Source organism: Homo sapiens, chromosome 4, assembly GCF_000001405.40.
Source record: "Homo sapiens chromosome 4, GRCh38.p14 Primary Assembly".
Lineage (NCBI taxonomy): Eukaryota > Metazoa > Chordata > Mammalia > Primates > Hominidae > Homo > Homo sapiens.
Window position 1 is genome coordinate 41,491,486 of NC_000004.12, and position 19,797 is coordinate 41,511,282.

The 19,797-nt window shown below is 41.9% G+C and overlaps 1 protein-coding gene across 39 annotated transcripts in view; it reads left to right on the top strand.

Annotated features, from left to right (window-relative positions):
• The window catches only part of LIMCH1 (LIM and calponin homology domains 1), a 340,438-nt gene that overhangs the window by 131,879 nt on the left and 188,762 nt on the right, over positions 1-19,797 (top strand). For all 39 annotated transcript variants that reach the window (NM_001289124.2, XM_011513642.2, XM_011513644.2 and 36 more), the window contains exon 2: positions 3,051-3,121. Coding sequence is in view for 38 of the 39 variants with exons in the window: in XM_011513642.2 (XP_011511944.1) it covers positions 3,051-3,121 (71 nt within the window). In the remaining variant the exon portion in view is untranslated. The remainder of the gene's footprint in view (positions 1-3,050; positions 3,122-19,797) is intronic.

The following is a 19,797-nucleotide window of genomic DNA, read 5'->3' on the forward strand; positions in this document are numbered from 1 at the left end:
CACTTCCCAGACAGAGTGGCCAGGCAGAGGGGCTCCTCACATCCCATACTGGGCGGCCGGGTAGAGGCGCTCCTCACATCCCAGACGATGAGCGGTCAGGCAGAGACGCTCCTCACTTCCTAGATGGGGTGGCGATTGGGCAGAGGTGCTCCTCACTTCCCAGACGGGGCGGCCAGGCAGAGACGCTCCTCACTTCCTAGATGGGGTGGCGATTGGGCAGAGGTGCTCCTCACTTCCCAGATGGGGGCGGCCAGGCAGAGGCGCTCCTCACTTCCCATTCGGGGCAGCCGGGCAGAGGCGCTCCTCACTTCCTCCCAGACGGGGCGGCCAGGCAGAAGCGCTCCTCACTTCCCATTCGGGGCAGCCGGGCAGAGGCGCTCCTCACTTCCTCCCAGATGGGGCAGCCGGGCAGAGGCACTCCTCACGTCCCAGACGGGGCGGCCGGGCAGAGGGGCTCCTCACATCCCAGACGATGGGCGGCCAGGCAGAGATGCTGCTCACTTCCTAGACGGGGTGGCGGGCAGGCAGAGGCTGTAATCTTAGCACTTTGGGAGGCCAAGGCAGGCGGCTGGGAGGTGGAGGTTGTAGCCAGCCGAGATCACGCCACTGCACTCCAGCCTGGGCAACATTGAGCATTGAGTGAGCGAGACTCCGTCTGCAATCCTAGCACCTCAGGAGGCCGAGGCGGGCAGATCACCCGAGGCCAGGAGCTGGAGACCAGTCCGGTCAACATGGCGAAACCCCGTCTCCACCAAAAATACAAAAACCAGTCAGGAGTGGCGGTGTGTGCCTGGAATCCCAGGCACTGGGCAGGCCGAGGCAGGAGAATCACCGGAGCCCGAGGCAGGGAGGTTGCAGCGAGCCGAGATCATGGCAGTACAGTCCAGGCTCCGCAAGAGAGGGAGACCGTAGAAAGAGGGAGAGGCTCCACAAGAGAGGGAGCCCAGAGGGAGAAGGGGAGGGGGAGGGGGAGGGGGACTTTCTCCCTTTCTTTTTGGCTCCCATGAATTCTTTTAAGTGTATTGAGATTTGCATTCTGACTCAGAATTTGGACTGTCTTCATAAATGCTCACTGTGAACTTAAAAAAATGTACATTCTGCAGTTTTAGGGTGGAATATTCTAGAAATGTCATTTAGGTCTATTTGGTAGATAGTGTTGGTCAAGTCTTCTATAGCGTTATTGATTTTTCTCTCTACTTGTCCTGTCAATTATTGAAGAGAGATATATAAATCTCTGAATCTATTTGTGGATATGTCCATTTCTCTGTATAGTTCTATCTGTTTTGGCTTGCATATTTTGAAGCTTTTTAATTAGGTGTATGAATGTTTAGGATTCTTGCATCTTCCTGATTAGTGAACCTCTTTATCATTATCAAATGATTTTATTTCTGTTGTTATTTTTCTTCTGAAAGTTTCTTTGTCTGATATATAGTTATATCAGACTTTCCTGGAAAAAAATTATTTCCTAAACAATACAGTGTAACAATGATTTACATATAACCATATATATATGGTTAATCCAGCTTTCTTTTGATTAGTGTTATCATGGTATATCTTATTTTATTCTTTTATTTAACTTTTTTGTGTCTTTATATTTAAAGTGCATTTCTGTAGACAGTACATAGTTGTTGGATCCTGCTTTTTTAGCCATTCTGACAATCTCTGTCTTTTAATTGGGGATGTTTAAACCATTTATATTTAAGGTAAGTATTGACATGGTCAGGTTTAAGTCTATAATATATTGTTTTTCTATTTGCTCCTTCTGTTCTTTGTTCCCCTCTCCCTTTTTTGTTGCTTTTTAAATTGTTAGTATTTTTTATGATCAATTTTATCTCCTTTCTTGGTTTGTTAGCTATAACTTTATTTTGCTATTTTAGAGGTTGCTTTAGGGTTTATAGTCAAGTCAGGCTTCCGTATCCATGAGTTCTACATTTGTGGGTTCAACTAACTGTGGACCAAAAATATTAAAAAAAAAAAAAGCATCTGTTTTTGTTGTCATTATTTCCTAAACAATACAGTGTAACAACTGTTTATATAGCATTTATATTATATTATGCAGTGTAATCTGGAGATGATTCTATGTGTACTGGAAGATGTGCATAGGTTATATGCAAATACTACACATTTTTTATCAGAGACTTGAGCATTCACAGATTTTGGTAGCCGAGATGGGTTTTGAAACCATTCCCCCATGGATATTGAGGGATGCCTGTATACTTACCTGGTATATTTTAGGTGCTCAATACATATTTCCTGAATGAACACATGAACAAATGTCTCCCTGGTGCCTAGGCCACAGGGCTGCTGAGAGCCAGAGGCACCAAGAGTGGCTATCAATCCTGTGCTGTCAGACAATTATTCTTTCCCAGCTTTTAATTTTTTCTCTTTTATGCCATATTATTAATGGATATTGGCTTTAATCTTCCCATCTTGATGTTAGTCCCTTGAGATTAGACATCCATATCCTCTTCTCCCTCAGTCCCTGGAGGTTTCAGTAAATAAGGACTTTATCCTCAGGTGTGCTTTCCCCAGGCTTTTTTGAAAGTGTGCATGGGGTGGATCCTCTGGATGAAAGAGACTGTGGCCTTGACTTATTGTGCCCAAACCCCCAAAAGTAAGAAATTCTTGTCAGGAAGGGTAGATATTGTTTAAGGTAGTAAATAGAAAAAAAGGCTTCAAAGAAATGGTCTAAATTTAACTTTAGCTGATCTAGGCAAAGCTACACATGGGAAGGAAATTCAGGCCTAACAGATTTTCCCCATTCTTGGAATGCCACCCGTTTTTTTCAAGATTATTGAAAAAAAATTATATATATATAATTATATATATACACACATACATATATATACACATACATATATATACATACGTACACATACACATACATATATACACATACATACATATACGTACATACACATAAACATACATATATACACATACATAGTTATATATATGTACACACACATACACACACACATATATATATGATTGGACTTCTTGATTAAAAAAGAAAAACTTATGTGCTCTTTTTCTTTTCTTTTTTGCAGCAAGTAACTGGCAGAAGTTTTGGTGATAAAGATTTTCGGACAGGTTTAGAAAATGGAATCCTCCTCTGCGAGTAAGTATAGCCTATATTCAGTTGGTTTTATTCAAAAAACATCATTAATACTATCCAGTTTGGCTGTAAGACTTCTAGTGTTTTGTTTTGAATTTATTCACAGTTTGAATCTGAAACTCAAAAAATCCCTGGGCTAGACAAGAAACACAAGTCGGTGTGGGAGCCTTGGTGTGCCAGTAGGGAGTGGTGGGGACTGTGGCAATTGCAAACAAGACAGAGAAAGAGCATCTGGTAGCTGCTGTTCAGCTCCAATAATCTTTCACTGTGCATCAATTTGAGCCCATGTAATTGTAAGGGTGGACCTAATTGTGGTAAAAGTAAAACTTTTCTCCCCTTTTAAATCCCAAACAAAAGCAGCTTGTGCCAAAATAAAACAGTGCTTCTATATACTTACAACATCTTAAAACATGCCGGGTAATGCTCCTCACTTTGCCTGTTTCACTGGTGTATTTCAAATATGTTTAATCTGTGCTGTTGGCAAAATTTAAATGTGAACAATAACTACAGTGTTTAATTTTTGTGTTTTAAAGAATTCAGGGCTCCTGTGAAGTAGCTCTAGCTACAAAATAAGCAGAGCCTTCGTACTTATAAAGACATATATTTCAAGATTTATGGATAGACGTAAATTTCAAGATTTCAAAATTTGCATTTATTTAACAGGTTTTGTGATTTCAATACTGATTTTTGTTTTATTGAGGTGAAATGTACATACAATGAAACACACAGCTCCTAACTGTACAATCTAATGGGTATTGAAAGATGTGTACATGTATGTAACCTAATCAAGATATGAAACAAAAAGTTTCCTCATGCCCCTTCTCACTCAATCTCAAGCCCCTGGAGACAAGCACTGTTCTGATCTCTGTCACAGTAGCATCTATTTTGCCTTCTCTTATACTTGATTTCAGTGGAATCACATAGAATAAACTCCTGTTTTTGGCAACTTTCAGAATATTGCTTGGGATCCAATGATGACACGGAAGGAATGTGGGTTTGGAGCCTGTGGACTAGAGATTGATGTTCTTACTTTACCCCTAAATCATTTAATCACCCCAAGTCTCATTTTTTTCTAAAATCATAATAAAAAATGTATAACTCTATTTTGTAGGCTTTTTATGAGCTTCAAAAGGATAGAGTGAGTGAGGCACTTTCAAAGATTATGCAGCACTGTACAAATGTTGACTATTTTGTTGAACCTCTCAACACAGCTCCTGTCAGCATTTTTTTCTGCCTCCCCACTGCTCTTCTTTCTTCAAAGAAAAATGTGTATCTTCTATTTGATGTTTCCATATTCTCTTTCCTACGAAGTCTCTCCACCCTACTCGTGTATCCCTCACCACCTCTTTTCTCATTATTACATTTAAATCAGAGCTTAACTCTTAGGTAAGCTGCAGTTACTTCAGTGGATGCAAGCTCAGTGGATGCAAGCCAGTCAGGCTCTGAACTCTTTCTCTCTGTTCTACCACTTGCTTTTCCCATGATTCTGGGCTTAGCCCTCTCCTGATATTAACAGACTAGCCAAAATCTGATCTAATTCATGCAGACCATGTTGGTTCAATTGAAGTGGGTCTTTGGTCCAATTTTTGTTTACCTAACATTTGCTCCAGAGATTCTTGTAGGCATCCACTTCTCCACTATATTCTCATGCCCAGGTAGGTAGGATGAAATTGTCTAAGTCCTCTAATCACAGGGGATTAGACCCACTGGTGTATTTGAAGGAGCACGAGCTTTGGAGTCTGAGGACTAGGGATCAAGCTCTCGTTTCCCCAGTGGGACTCTAGCTAGCAGGCCCAGCAAAGAGTTTGCTAAAGTGGAATGAACCACATAGGAGGCCAGAGGCAAGGAAAGCCAGTAGCGTGAACCTCTGCTAGGTCCTTCAAGAGAAAGCTGGGTCAGGAGCCAGAGAAACCAAATGCACACAAATTTCTAGGCATGGAACTTGCAGAGCAATGAGAACCAAAACCATGACCCAGGAGCTGCATGCAATGGTGACTGGGGACAGGGGAGGAAGAGTTTTCTTCCTCACCCTTATGGCTAGGTTTTGTGTAAGTTGAGACTATTAGGCTGCTACAGACTGAGATTAGCAGGTGTATTTTCTGGGACTTGTATCCCAAGGCCAATCTAGCAAAAAGGGGGACTTGCTCTGTTGAAAATGTGGGATCGTTTGATGGTGGGGGCCAAAAGCTGGAACACTCAGCATGGAGGATTTTAGAAGTTGAAGGCTCCCAGACAGTGGAGCCACACAGGTGTCAAACACCTGTCTTTGGAGATTAGATTAGAATGCCTAAGACTGTACCACTCTCTAGAACTGGAGAGAGTTTAGTGGATGCCAGTGATTAGGAGTCTAATTCATAGCTACCCCACACCACAGAAACATTAAGAAATATGAGGACTCTCTACAATTTCAAATTTTGAAAACTAAGCAGTTTGGCTCTTCTTAGAATTGGGCTTTTTATAGTATATAGGCTTTAAAAAATTATTTGATGCTTTCCAGTTTTGTGTTATTCAAAATAGAAGCCCAGTTGGTATCTTGGAACAGTGTTATCCCAGTTGGCAAATACATGAGCAGCATTGTTGAATTCTTTCTTTTGTTCAACAAATGCTCATCTTTTTGTCTGAGTTGAATCCACTCTAAATGTTAGTAGCAACTGTGTAGAGACACCAGCATCTTTGTTCACTAAAAATTTCCTGAGTTGTTGTAGGAGTCTAAAGAAAAAAAAAAAAGCTTCATCATTTTCATCAAACAGAAGGATACCTTCTGGTCCTGGGGTCTGGTTTCCCCTGACCAGCCTGGTTTCAAACTTAGCTGTGGTCTCTAAGGAATATTATTATACCTATTTTACAGAGAAAGTAACTGAGGTACAAAGGATTAAATAACTTGGCTAAGATCATACAGATAAAAAGTATTTAAGTTTGGCCGGGCACGGTGGCTCACGCCTGTAATCCCAGCACTTTGGGAGGCAGGGGCAGATGGGTCACCTGAGGTCAGGAGTTCAAGACCAGCCTGGTCAACATGGTGAAATCCCATCTGTACTAAAAATACAAAAAATTAGCTGGGCTTGGTGGCGGATGCCTGTAATCCCAGCTACTCGGGAGGCTGAAGCAGGAGAATTGCTTGAACCTGGGAGGCGGAGGTTGCAGTGAGCTGGGATCGTGCTACTGTACTCCAGCCTGGGCAACAAGAGCGAAACTTCGTCTCAAAAAAAAAAAAAATTAAGTTTAGGAGGTCTGATCCCTTAGCTCTTGCTCTTAATCACTGCCCTGTTCTAGAATTGGGATTTTAATGGGAGAGAAAAGAAAGAGATTGGCAGGTGGAGAGAGGAGAGGGCATTAGTGCCTGCAGACCTAAGTTTGGGGAAGGTGGCAGTGCAGAGGGTGAACCACTGAGTCTCAGCTGGGCAGAGGACAAAGAAGGACTGCATGTGGTTGGTGGTCTTAGAAAAATGTAAGCATCAAGGGCCTGGTGGTTCCACTTGGGCTAAGAAGGCAGCGTCAATAAAAGTGAGGGCAAGAGAGCTGAAAGGGTCGGAGGCTGTGGTCAGTGGAGGATGTAGGAGTTTCAGTTTTTGATAGAGCAGTCAAGACCAGATGGAGACAAACGAGAATAGTGGACCTGGATTAAAGACTACAGAGACAGGAGAGAGAAAAGACGAGCACCTACATACAGCATGTACGATGGAAATGGAATACCCTCAAAATCACCCTGGGACATCTCTTACTCCATATGGCTTTGAATATGCAACTCCTATGCCGGAATACTAATACATAAATGTATAACTTAGAGTAATAGCAAGTATAAAATAGAGTGCCTGTGCCCAGTGGAATGGCAGTAGATGTGTTTTTGCCATACTCATGTCTCTCTTCCTCTGTTGTTTTTGCCAAGTGTGTGTGTAGTTGAAGTTTCAGAGGTTAAATGCTTAAATGGTGTGAACCCTCTTCTGAGTATTTAATAAGAGGCTGGGGTCAAAGTGTGACAGAGCCACAAATATGTGACAAATGTTATGCTGTTAGAAATATCAATCATATACGGCACAGTGTCCTTGATGACTTACGAGTCAAAAAGGAGGGCTGCAGAGAGTTAGTCTTTAAAGAAGCTACTCCCAGGTTGGAGTCATTAGCAGATGATATTCTCTACTTCCCTGCACATACACCGGCCTGTTTTGAAATAACTCCAGAAAAGAAACTTTCTGACTTGTGTTCCTGACTCTGATTTTATTATTTAGATAAGAGTCTATAGGATCAGGGGCTGGCAAATTATGGCCCTTGGCCTTTTTTTTTTTTTAACTGGCCTTCTTGCTAAGAATGTGTTTTATGTTTTTAAAGGATTGTAAACCAAACTAAATTAAACAAGAGTCTATATGTGGCTCACAAAGCCTAAAGTGTTTACTATCTGGTCCTTTACAGAGAAACTTTGCCAGTTCTAAAGGACTGTGGAATTAATTTTAGATGTAAATTGTTTATCCTTGTAAAGTTAAGAAATTGAGTTTGGGCAGTGCAAAATGCTATTTGGGTAAATTAAATAACATTTTACAAAAGGTTTTCCCAGGAGTCTCTTTACAAGTTTTCTCCCCCACCTTTTTATTTTGGACAATTTCAAATTTATAGAAAAGTTACAAGAATAATATAATAAATATCCATATACCCTGCACCTCACTATACTAATTATTATCATTTTGCCATATTTGCTTTATCTCTTCATGTGTATATATGCCTCTTTTTCCCTGAACCATTTGAATGTAAGATGCAAACATCATGAAACTTGACTCCTAAATGTTGCAGGGTGGATCTTGTAAATATAGGAACATTATCCTCCGTAACCATTCAAGGCATTTAGCAATAATATAGTAACGTTTAAAGCATAGTCCAGAATTAAATGTTGCTAGTATCCCCAGTAATATCCTTTATACTGATTTTTTAAAAATCTAGGATCTGGCCGGGAGCGATGGCTCACGCCTATAATTCTAGCACTTTGGAAGGGCAAGGTGGGGGGATCATGAGGTCAAGAGATCGAGTCCATCCTGGCCAACATGGCAAAACCCTGTCTCTACTAAAAATACAAAAATTAGCTGGGCGTGGTGGCGCATGCCTCTAGTCCCAGCTACTCGGGAGGCTGAGGCAGGAGAATCTCTTGAACCCGGGAGGCGGAGATTGCAGTGAGCTGAGATTGTGCCACTGCACTCTAGCCTGGCAACAGAACAAGACTCCATCTCAAAAAAGAAAAAAAAAATCTAAGATCTAATCAAAGGTCACACATTGCATTTGGTTACCATGCCTCTTTAGCTTCCCTAAACCTAGAACAATCCATCTAGTCTTTTGTGTCTTTCATGACATTAACATGTTTGAAGATTCCAGACCAGCTATTTTGTAGAATATATCTCACATTTGGATTTTTCTAATTTCTTCCTCATGGTTAAATCCAGGTTAGACAGTTATAGCAAGACCACGTGGGTGATGTTCTTGGCATGGGACATAGTAGGGTTTGTCCCATTGCTGGTAATGTTATGAGTGATAATTGGTCAAGGTGATGTCCCCAAGATTTATGCATTGTTAATATGCCTTTTCTATTTTGTCATCTGTGAAAGATACTCAAGTTGTGGAAATAACTTGATATCCCCAGATCTTTCATCCAATGGCTTTAGTATCTATTGATGATACTTTCCTGAATCAGTCATTACACTGAGAGTTGCACAATGGTGACTTTCTAATTCTGTTCTTTCTACATTTGTTAGCTGTCATTCTTGTGTCTTTTTGAAGAAAAGAGCTTTTCTCCCTCCTCTTTTTGAGTATCACCAATCCATTGGCATCCATACTTTTACATTACCCTTAATCGCTAAAAAATTCTCTATAGATAACGAATGAGGTAAGTGATAATAGCAGGCCTGTTTTACAAATACAACCAGAATATAGAACATCTAAGATTTTAAAGTCAGTCCACTGAAAAAAGATTTTAGAGCTTTTGTGTTCATATAGGTAGATGGTTCATATTTCTGTTTGCTTTTATATTATTTTCCAATTCTTGCTTTATCTTAGTGTTCACCTTTGGCAAGGTCAGATGTCCTGCCCTGGCCAATGTTCGGACAGAATCACCAATATGACTATGTTGGGCACACCTGCCCAAGGAAGGAGCTTCCAGTGAAGACTTAAGAGACAGACAGGCACTAGAAGAGTATAACCATCAAGGGCCTGGTAGTCCCACTTGGGTTAAGAAGGCAGGTTCAATACAAGTGAGGGCATGAGAGAGCTGAAAGGTTAGGAGGCTGGGGTCAGTGGAGGATGGAGGGGTTTCAGTTTTCGATAGAGTGGTTGAGACCAGATGGAGACAAATGAGAGAGGTGGACCTGGACTAAAGACTACAGAGGCAGAAGAGAGAAAAAACTAGCATCTACAGGCAGCATGAATGATGGAAACTGAGGATCATCAAAATCACCCCGGGAGATGACATATTTCAGCATGGGGGCTCCGGGTGAGGTCACTGGGGAGTTCAGGTAAGAACTCTGCACAAGAAAGACCATTAATGGCCACTGTGATTTTCTTTAACCCCTGAGAAAAGTACAGACCACACATGAGTTAGTTCTACAGGGAACCTTCAATATTTTTAAGTTAGTTATAGTAAAGATTATTTCTTTGAAAGCATAGATATATGTGGATGAGAAAGAGCCTGCTAGTGGCTTACCATTTTCTATCTGATCTGAAGCATTCACTGCAAGAACCTTAAGGAAATGAATTCTTAAGTGTTTTAGAATCTCATGTCTTTTGACCAGAGCTGTATGAAAGACATATTTCTATTTGTGAACATGAAGTGGTGTAATTGGCTTAGAAGGCCGAAAAGATTCCCTCACTTTTTGGTATTGCTTGATGCTGAAATCAAGAATTGATAAGCCTTGTAGAGATAAGTCATCTAGTCGCCACATCAAAAGGAGACAGAGGTATTCCAGCCCTTCTTTTGTTTCTTCTGCTCTCATGTTGCCTGTTTAGGGATAATTCTATGAAATATTTCAGTTTTTTTGGTGGGGTCATTCTAGAGAAGGGACAGGCTTCCTTATATTTTGTCTCTAAAGTATAAATGAAAGTAACTGGAAAATACCCTTTTCCTGGTGATGAGGCACAATTACTGAATTATAGAAAACAATAGAAGACAAATTAATTCCCTTGTCCACTGTATTAAATCTTTAGTGGGAATCTTAATTTAGAATCAGGAAGGCGGGTTTAAAATCAATGGCATTTTCACTCTCATCTCCCGGTGTAGAATCCTTTTTTTTTTTTTTTTTTTTTTTTTTTTTAAAAAAAACCTTCAATTTTTATTTTAAGTTCCAGGGTACGTGTGCAGGATATGCAGGTTTGTTACATAGGTAAATGTGTGCCATGGTGGTTTGCTGCATAGATCAACCCATCACCCAGGTATTAAGCCCAGCATCCATGAGCTATTCTTCCTGATGCTCTCCCTCCCCCAATGACTTCCCCCTGCCACACTGACAGGCCCCAGTGTGTGTTGTTCCCCCTATTGTCCATGTGGTCTCATCATTCAGCTCCCCCTTATAAGTGAGAAGATGTGGTGTTTGGTTTTCTGTTCTTGAGTTAGTTTGTTGAGGATTATGGCTTCCAGCTCCATCCATGTCTCTGCAAAGGATATAATTTCATTCCTTTTTATGGCTGCATAGTATTCCATGGTGTATCTGTACCACATTTTCTTTATCCAGTCTATCACTGATGGGCATTTGGATTGATTCCATTCTTCGCTATTGTGAATAGTGCTGCAATGAACATATGCGTGCCTGTATCTTTATAATAGAATGATTTATATTCCTTTGGGTATATACCCAGTAATGGGATCGCTGGGTCAAATGATATTTCTGCTTCTAGATCTCTGAGGAATCGCCACACTATCTACCACAGTAGTTGAACTAATCTACGTTCCCACCAACAGTGTAAAGCATTCCTTTTTCTCTGCAACCTCACCAGCATCTATTGTTTGACTTTTTAATAATCACTATTCTGACTGGCGTGAGACGATATCTCATTGTGGTTTTGATTTGCATTTCTCTAATCATCCGTGATGTTGAGCTTTTTTTCATACTGGTATAGAATTCTTTTTTCACTTTCCTCATTTCCTACTTGTAGAGATGTGTCAAAATGAGTTAGGTCTACATTTAAAGATGAGGTTTTTTTGGTGGTCGGGTTGGGGGTTGAGTTGAAGTTTGCTAGTGAGAATTTTTGTTGTTGTCAGTGATAGAAATGCAACTGAAACCAGTTTAAACAAAAATGGGATGTGATTGGTTTATGTGAATAAGCACGGAGGTAAATCACACACACACACACACACACACACACACACCCCAGGTACAGACATAACTATATAACCATGCTTGAATTGTGTTATCTGACTGGTCTGTCTGTCCATCCATCCATCCATCCATCCATCCATCCATCCATCCATCCATCCATCTCTTGCCTCTGCTTTCTTCTTTATTGACTTTGTCTTTGGGTAAGTTTTCCCATATGGTGACAAAGTTGGCTACTATTAGCTTTTAGCTTATATTTTACTAGCTTTGCAATCCCAGCAGGAAAAAAGAGATACTTTTTTGGAGTAATTCCAGTAGAAGTCCTGGTGCCTGCCCTTTATTGACGTGAATTGGGCCTGGTGCTCATCTCGGAATTAACCGAATGGCCAGGTCTGGATTTGCCCTTGCTTGGAGCCAGGACGTAGCATGGGCGCTCTCCACAGTCTGCCCTACCCTACAACTGCCCTACTATTCCTGGAGAGTTGGGGAGGAAAGTTGCTCAAGTGGAAATTAAGAAGCTGTTATCAAAGAAGAAGGAATGACTATTAGACCAACAAAACCAATACAGGCCCGCTGAGGGACTCTTCCATCCAACCAGGACAGACAGCCTTTGGAACTTCTAGTGGAGAAAAGGTGAGCTTAAGAGTGGTGTGAAAGGTTTATTAGGTCTCTTTGAGGCCTTGGTTAGACTTACATAGGGGTGTGTTCAGAGAAGGATGCTTTGGAGGGACTTACGTTTTCAGACCTGTCCTGTCAGGAGTCCATTCCTTTATCCCTATCCTCTCTAAACTATGGAGTGAGTTACCTTGGTGAGGTAAAACTGAGGCCACCAAAATCTATAGATCACTCCTTCCTTGGGAGTGTTGCCGGAGAAAAGCCTCTCTCCTGAGAAGCAGGCTTTGTCCTCTACCAGTCGGTTCCCTCAGCCCTCAAGTGATAACTGCCCTTGCTCTGAGCTTCCTCCCAGCCTTTTTACCTCCCTCTCTAGGGGTTTGGGCTGATGCTTCCAGGAGCTGCCATTTTTCTGATGTGGCTGCCACGTTTCCCAACTCTTCTGCCTCCGAGCACTTGGAGTTGCGAGAGAGACCTCTCTCCCAATGACAGCTCTTTGAGCAAATCTTAGACAGGTGATCCTCTGAGTAGTCTGTACTTTCTCCTTTTAATTTATAGTACCCCCTACTGAATAACTTGGCACCAATTCTCTGAGAGTGGACAGGAGACCTTGGAGCTATCCAGTTCAGTTTCTCCTCACAACCATTTGCTGTCTCCTAGAATAAGGCCCCTCCATTTTCAGCTCTGTCCAACCTCAGGGTCTGTCTCTGCATACTTCAGACCTTTCTTTCCAGGGGTTGGGGTTAATGTTTGCTTCCCTGGCATTAGTCCTGATATCTCTTCATTCTGAGTTTCCTAGTGTTTCTTTAACCATTTCTTCCAGGAGGTCTAGGGGAGCCCCAGTCAATGGGATCCCTGTGGAGCTGTTCAAACATCCTAGGTAGGTTTTGAAATTGATGAGCTCCTGTGTCTCCACAGGGATGCTATTGATGTCATCAGAACAATTCCTTTTTGCATCTGAGCAGTTCCACTCATTGCAGATAATTCACCTCCTCTGCCCTGCTCACTTCAAGCCAGTGGTGCTTCCCACTCGTGGGAGCAACCCCATACTCACCTTCAGATTCCCAAATGCTCCCTGGCAATGGCAGTATGCAGATACTCTTCATGGCTATTTGTAGCTTGCGCATAGAGAAATGCAAAGCCAAGTTTCAGTGAGTGTATGACTGTGTTTATTTTCTTACCTTGATTCTTACTGATATGCTCTCCCTTATTCTCTGGTTTGCTTATCATTTTCCCCACTCCTTTCTTCCATTTTTGTTACTATCTAAGGACATATATTTAACAAAAGCCAGTTCAAACCCTTTTATGAGAGAGTATAGTGGAAAGTGAATGGATTTTGGAATTCCTTCATTAAATCCTATGAAATTGTGTCAATAGACCAAAAAATAGTCAGATAATGTGATTTCCTAGGGTTCAACCTAGTAGATGGAGCAGATCCTAGATTTGCCTCCTGTGTATCCTTAGGCTAGTAACCTAACCTCTTTGAGTCCCCCAGTTTACTTTTATCTATAAAAACAGATCATAATTGTAAAAATCCATATAGGATTGTTCTGAGGATAAAATGAATTGAAAATATGTATAAAATTCTTTGTTCAGTGTTTGGAACATAGCAGGCACTTAAATGTTAACTTTCCCCCGTTCGTCTATGTAACAGAGAAATTACTACTTCTTGAGGTTTCTAGGAGATTCCAGTGAGAGAATACAGTCAAGCACTCAGCATAGCATCTGGCACTTGCTTGGCACCCTGTACCACTGGCTGTTCTTATTATTGTTTTTGGAAATAGTCCAAAAGTCAATTATGAATATGACATAGTCATTGCAACTCTGTGTCACTGTGCACCCAGTGGCTCGCTCCCTTGGGCTGCCAGCAAGCCACGGGATGAAGGCATTTGGATTATACTTTCTAGCTTCTCTCATCTAGCTTGTGATCAAAAACTGGGCAAGAAAATTTGGGTCCCTTACAAACTTGATCATGTGTGAATAATGAACTTTGGCTGGCAGAGCTTGGGGACTAGAGTGATTGTTTTGAAAACAATAACCCTGACCTCTGTGGTGATGTCATTTTCTCCCATCCATCCAGTCTGTTGTGGTTTTCTTCTCTGGGAAGCTGTTCCAGAACCTTCTAGGCAGTGTTAATAGGTTCTTGTCTGGCTGCTAAGTACCCATACACAACTCCACTTTAGTGCTATTATAGAGCTCTACCTCTTTGTCCCATCTTTGTACCGGATTGAGAGCTTTCTTGAAGACCCTTTGTCTTTGTATTTCACTCATTGGACACTGGTGTAGCAAATAATCCATCTATAGAAACACTTGGTGAATAGATTGAGACCAAGTTATAAGATTTCTACCTAGGCCACCTGATCATCAATGACTGCCTTTAACTTTCTCCCAGTCTTAGTCAGTATTATTCTCTCTCTCTGTGTTTCTGACACACACACACACACACACACACACACACACACACACACACACTTTGTATAAACAACAGACCCATCCCTAAAGACTGGGAGACCAAAGGATGGATGTATTTGCTTTCTTCAAGTGTAAGATTCTCTATTACAAATTCCATCTTCCTAGGAGTCATAGAACTGAACTTAAAAGTTTTGTTTTGCAAACGTATTGTCATGAAATGAAAGTGTGAGTATGTTAATCTACAAATAAGTGACCAATAAAGAATGTCTTAGTGGATTTTTGTCTCAGTTCCTGTGTTGCTGAAATGATTTTCCAAAGATAAGAAATCTGTTGGCAAACACTTATTCTATCATCACTGATAAATGAGCTGCTTGTCAGAAGGAGGTCTGGCCTTAGATTCTTGTCATGATTTCAGCATGAGATGTGGTGTGTCACGGATGTGTCCTAGTCTTGTAGGACAGGTTGAGGGTTGATGGTGTAACTTTGTGTGGAGACATTTTATCACATGGAGGAATTGTTGGCTATCGACCATGTGCTGCATAGCACCAAATTAGGCACCAAGAGGCATAAAAACAGAATGTAAGACATGATCTTCAAAAGTTTTATGATGTGCTTGGGGACTGGACCCACACACACAGAGCAGTTAAGTTACAGTGTAAACCAGTGTACGAGTAAATGTAAAACCAACAAAGATTTAATCTCCAAGATTTAATAAGAGGTTAAATGAGGATACTGTTATGACTTGGGAGACAGTTAATTGGGGAGATATAATATTAATTGACTATTAAGAATAGGTTGAGGGAAAGGGAAAATCATCTTTATAGAGAAAAACAAGTAGTTTTTTCTTTCTTTATACTTTCATAACACTCTGGTCACAAAAATGTGTGGTTTTTATCCCTCATAATGACCAATTCTCCAATACCAGCTGGTTATCTTAAAGTTTAACTTAATCTCGACACTAACTGGAGATAATACAGACTACACAGGTTAAGGGCTCAGTCCCACAAGACTGCCCCCACCCCTCATTTAGATGCCAGTTGCAAATAACAGGTCCTCAGGTGATCCACAACTTCTGTCCACTTGGCTACAAATTGGAGGCTCTCATGGCCTCCTTCTTGGGTTTGAATATTTATCAGAATGGCTCACAGAACTCCGGGGTACATCCGTGTATTTATGGATTTATTCTAAAGGATCTGATAAAGGGTACACATGAACAGCCAAATGGAAGATGCAGAGGGGAAGGCGTGGGGCCAAGGGAATAGGGTTTTCATCCCTTTCTTGTTGGTCCATCCTCCCAGCACCTCCACACGCCCAGCAACCCAGTATATCTTCAGACTCTTGAAACAGAGGGATTGAAACCGGGATTTTTATGGAGGCTTTGTCACTTAGGCATGATTGGTTGTTAATTCCATTTCCAGCCTCTCTCCCCTTCCTGGAGGATGGGAGTGGGGCTAGAAGTTCCAAGCTTCTAATCGTAGCTTGGTCTTTCTGGTAACCAGCCTCCATCTAGGAGCCTACCAAGAGTCACCTCATTAGAGCAAAAGACACTCCTATCACCCAGGAAATTCCAAGGGATTAGGAGTTCTGCGTCAGCAACTGGGGTCAGAGACTAAATATCAGAGTAAAAAAATGCACCTAGCATTCCTATTGCTCAGGAAATTACAAGGATTTTAGGGACTCTGTGCCAGGAGCTGGGGATGAAGACCAAAATATGGATTTCTTAATATAATTCACAGTATCACAGCATCCTACACAGGGACAAAGGCAGGAGGGAAGGTTTGGAGTCAGGAATGAGTAGGCTGTGTTTGGCACATATAGAGGATAGGTGCCTGAAAGGGCAAGGACATCTCTTCCTTTATCCAACTGACCTTTATAGGAACCCACTTATGAGTGTGGTAAGTTACTGTAAAGATGAATGCATTATGCAATCAAATCATGTAATGGTGGTGGTGGGAGGGGGGCGGGCAGCTGATTTGAGATCTAAATCCTGACTGTGTGGGATATAAATCTCAGATTCCCTTCAAGAAGCACATTTAGGTGGAGACCTGAACGAAGAGGAGAAATTATTCTCTTCTACCAGGAAAGAGGAAAGGGAAATGAAAGTTGAGAAGAAACATACTCTAGGGCTGAAAGAATAACATGATTGAAAACTCTACGACTGGAACAAGCTCTGTGTCTTGGAGGAATTGCAGGTAGACTTGTTTGGCCAAAAGGTAGAAAACCAGTGGGGCAATGGTATGAGATCAGTGTGGATGGAGAGAAGTAGTGGGGGCAAGATTGTGCAGGGCCTTGCAAGCCATATAAGGATTTGGTGGTTTGATTCCCAAGAGCAATGGAAATGAAGAGGATTTTGAAGAAATCAGCAGCACCTGGTAGAGTATAGTGATGAATGAAAGAAAAGACAAAAAATAATTTTGGTGTTTCAGTTGAGTGGGGTCCTGATACAAGCCAGAAAGGCTCCTCTGTTTGTTGGAGAGGTCATGGTTTTAGTTTGGGCAGGATGAGTTCGGGATATGGACAAGCCACCCAGGACCAGAGTCCTGTAGGCTGTTGGGGATGAGGGCCTGGCTCTTAGAGGTGAGACGATGCATTCAACTTGCTCAAGTTGGATTTGTGAGCCATTGTCGGACATCAGGGTTAAGCTATGAGATATGGAAGCCTCTCTGAGGGAAAGGCCACATTAGGAAAGAGCCGCAGAAGGAGGTCTCAGTTTGAGGAAGTGTCTCCCCTGGGTCATGGGTGGGAGAAAGAGAAGCTCACAAAAGAGCTATCAGAGAGATGAGAGGAAACCCAGGAGACTGTGAGGTCATGGAAACCAAGAGGGCTAAGAAGACTTTTAAGAAGGTGGAGGTGACTTGTATTGTATGTCCCCAGTAGATATCAGTTTGAGCAAAACCTCAGAAAAGGCCTGCCTTGCTTGCAGAAGGAAGGACTGGAGACTTTTAACAATTAATATGTATCTCTGGGAACTGCCAGTCAACTGATCATGATTCCACCTAACTGTTTTAGGTCTAGCTCATGTTTGTGTATCATTCCAACAGCTATTGTTAGAGACCTTGTGTAATATAAAGTACACATGCAATCATTTTCTGAAACATTGGTAAAGAGATGAGATTAGTATGACCCAATGGCTGATTAGTAGAGCAACAATACAACCTGTCATTCAAACTGAGACACTGTTCAGAGCGAAAGGGGGTATTAACCAGATGAGATGCTGGAACAAGTGGAAGCTGGGACTGACCTCAGCTAACTGGGATATATGGTCACCCCAGTTATTGATGACTTTAGACTGGTCCCTACTGGTCACCATTGCTTTGTTCAGTATTCACAAACCAATCCCTTATTTAGTCCTCAGAGCAACCCCAGTGAACCTAGATCTTCCAACCCCTCTTCTGTAGATGATTAGATGGAGACCCGAGGTGGTAGGGCACAATGTGTCTTTGCACTCTTTGTCTAGAGCTCTCTCTCTAACCCAGATGCTCGCTCCAATCTCAGCAAACTTGGGTCCTTTTTCCATTACTGATTTTGGCCTTAGCAGACTGGGAAGAATTTGATAGACTTTCTATGTAGGGTTCTCCCTTGTCCTTCTGCCAAATCACAATTGGCCACGCTGACTTGGCCTGTCTCCAGCTGTTTGGCACCAAGACTCATTAAGCCTTTAAGTTCAAGTGAGGACATTTCAACCCGCTCCTTTTCTGAAAAAGATCTCCAGTGAAAAAGCTGCTTTTTGTTTGAAGATTGGCCTGGCTTAGGTGGGGGCTTAGGCAAGAATTGAGTATCCCCAACAGGCTTCTGTTAGAAAGATGAAAACAGATGGAGAACATGGAAGGTGAATATGCAGGACTCATGGTGAGCAGAATGAGCCCCCAGTGTTGCCTCTTTTTTTGAATCCTCACCAAATAAATAGCCCTTGGCTCCTACTCAAAAGAGGGACTCAGCACAGTAGGGGTACTGTCTCCATTCAAACTGTTCTTTGGACATCAATTACAAAGTCTACTCTGGGAGCTCTTGTGTGCACTTGAGCATCTTGCCTTTGGAATATTCTCAAGCTCATCCATCTTTGTAAATATTCTGTTCATTAAAAATTATACGATCCTTGTCACTTCCTTTCTCCTAATACATAGTCTTATATGACCCAGACCCAGTAGGGCATTTACAGAGTTTGTTTTGAAGCTTCCTAGAAATGTGTTTGAAACTTATTTTAGCAGAATTGTCACTTGGAACCACTTCCCTCAACATGTGGCAATTCCCTCATCCTATTAATCTGCTCCTTAATAAATATTAAAATTCTCCTGACTTGAATCTCAGGCTAATCTTTCTCCTCCTGAACAAATTTTTGACAGATTTTTAAGAATGATCAATTAATTTAAGAAAATATAACAACTGGTTTAAATGTGGACTGCTCATGTGGTAGATGAGAAACTGGCCTAGCCCATTGCCTGCCTGTGGGGTTACATGCTGGATTAGGCTTTGCTTAGATTTAAGAGGATTTAGTAGCTCTAATTGTATTTCCTTAATAATCCATTTTTTGATTGTCTCTAATGGGCTGTCAGGCTTGGTGGGCTGGCTTCCCATGATGAAGTGTGCAAAATCTCTGCCTCACCTGTTCTGAATGTTCCCTTTGGTTACTCGAAGGAGTGGACTTTTTCTTAAATAGCCTACTAAGGACCCAGTTTATAAATGATTTTTTTTTTTTGAGATGGAGTTTCATTCTTGTCGCCTAGGCTGGAGTGCACTGGCACGATCTCGGCTTGCTGCAACCTCTGCCTCCCGGGTTCAAGTGATTCTGCTGCCTCAGCCTCCCGAGTAGCTGGGATTACAGGCGTCTGCCACCATGCCTGGCTAATTTTTGTATTTTTAGTAGAGACGGAGTTTCGCCATGTTGGGCAGGCTGGTCTCGAACTCCTGCCCTCAGGTGATCCGCCCACCTCGGCCTCCCAAAGTGCTGGGATTAAAGGTGTGAGCCACCGCACCCGACCAAATGATTTCTTTAAAAAGTTAACTATGAAGAAATAGACTTCCTTCTTGGTATCAAGAGGAAGAAAGAGTGAATAAAAAGAAAAAGTGAAGACTGTATATCTGAGTGATTAGCTCTAGTGCTTGCCCTTCCTTAAGCCACTGTAGACTCTGCTGGGAGGCTAACATTCCCAAACATGGCTTCATCGTGACTGGTGGCCTCTTCCCAGAAGACGGGGTGTGATTCAAGTTCCTTTGCCTAGAACGTGGTGTCCCTCTGTCTGGGTGCAATGATTCTATTCAACTCATCAGCCCTGTCCATTTGCACTGGTCACAGAGGTTGATCTATTATTGTTCCTACAATTCTCTTTGTGCTTCCCTGCTTTGTATCTTTCTTGCATTTGCTTCTAGCTACCT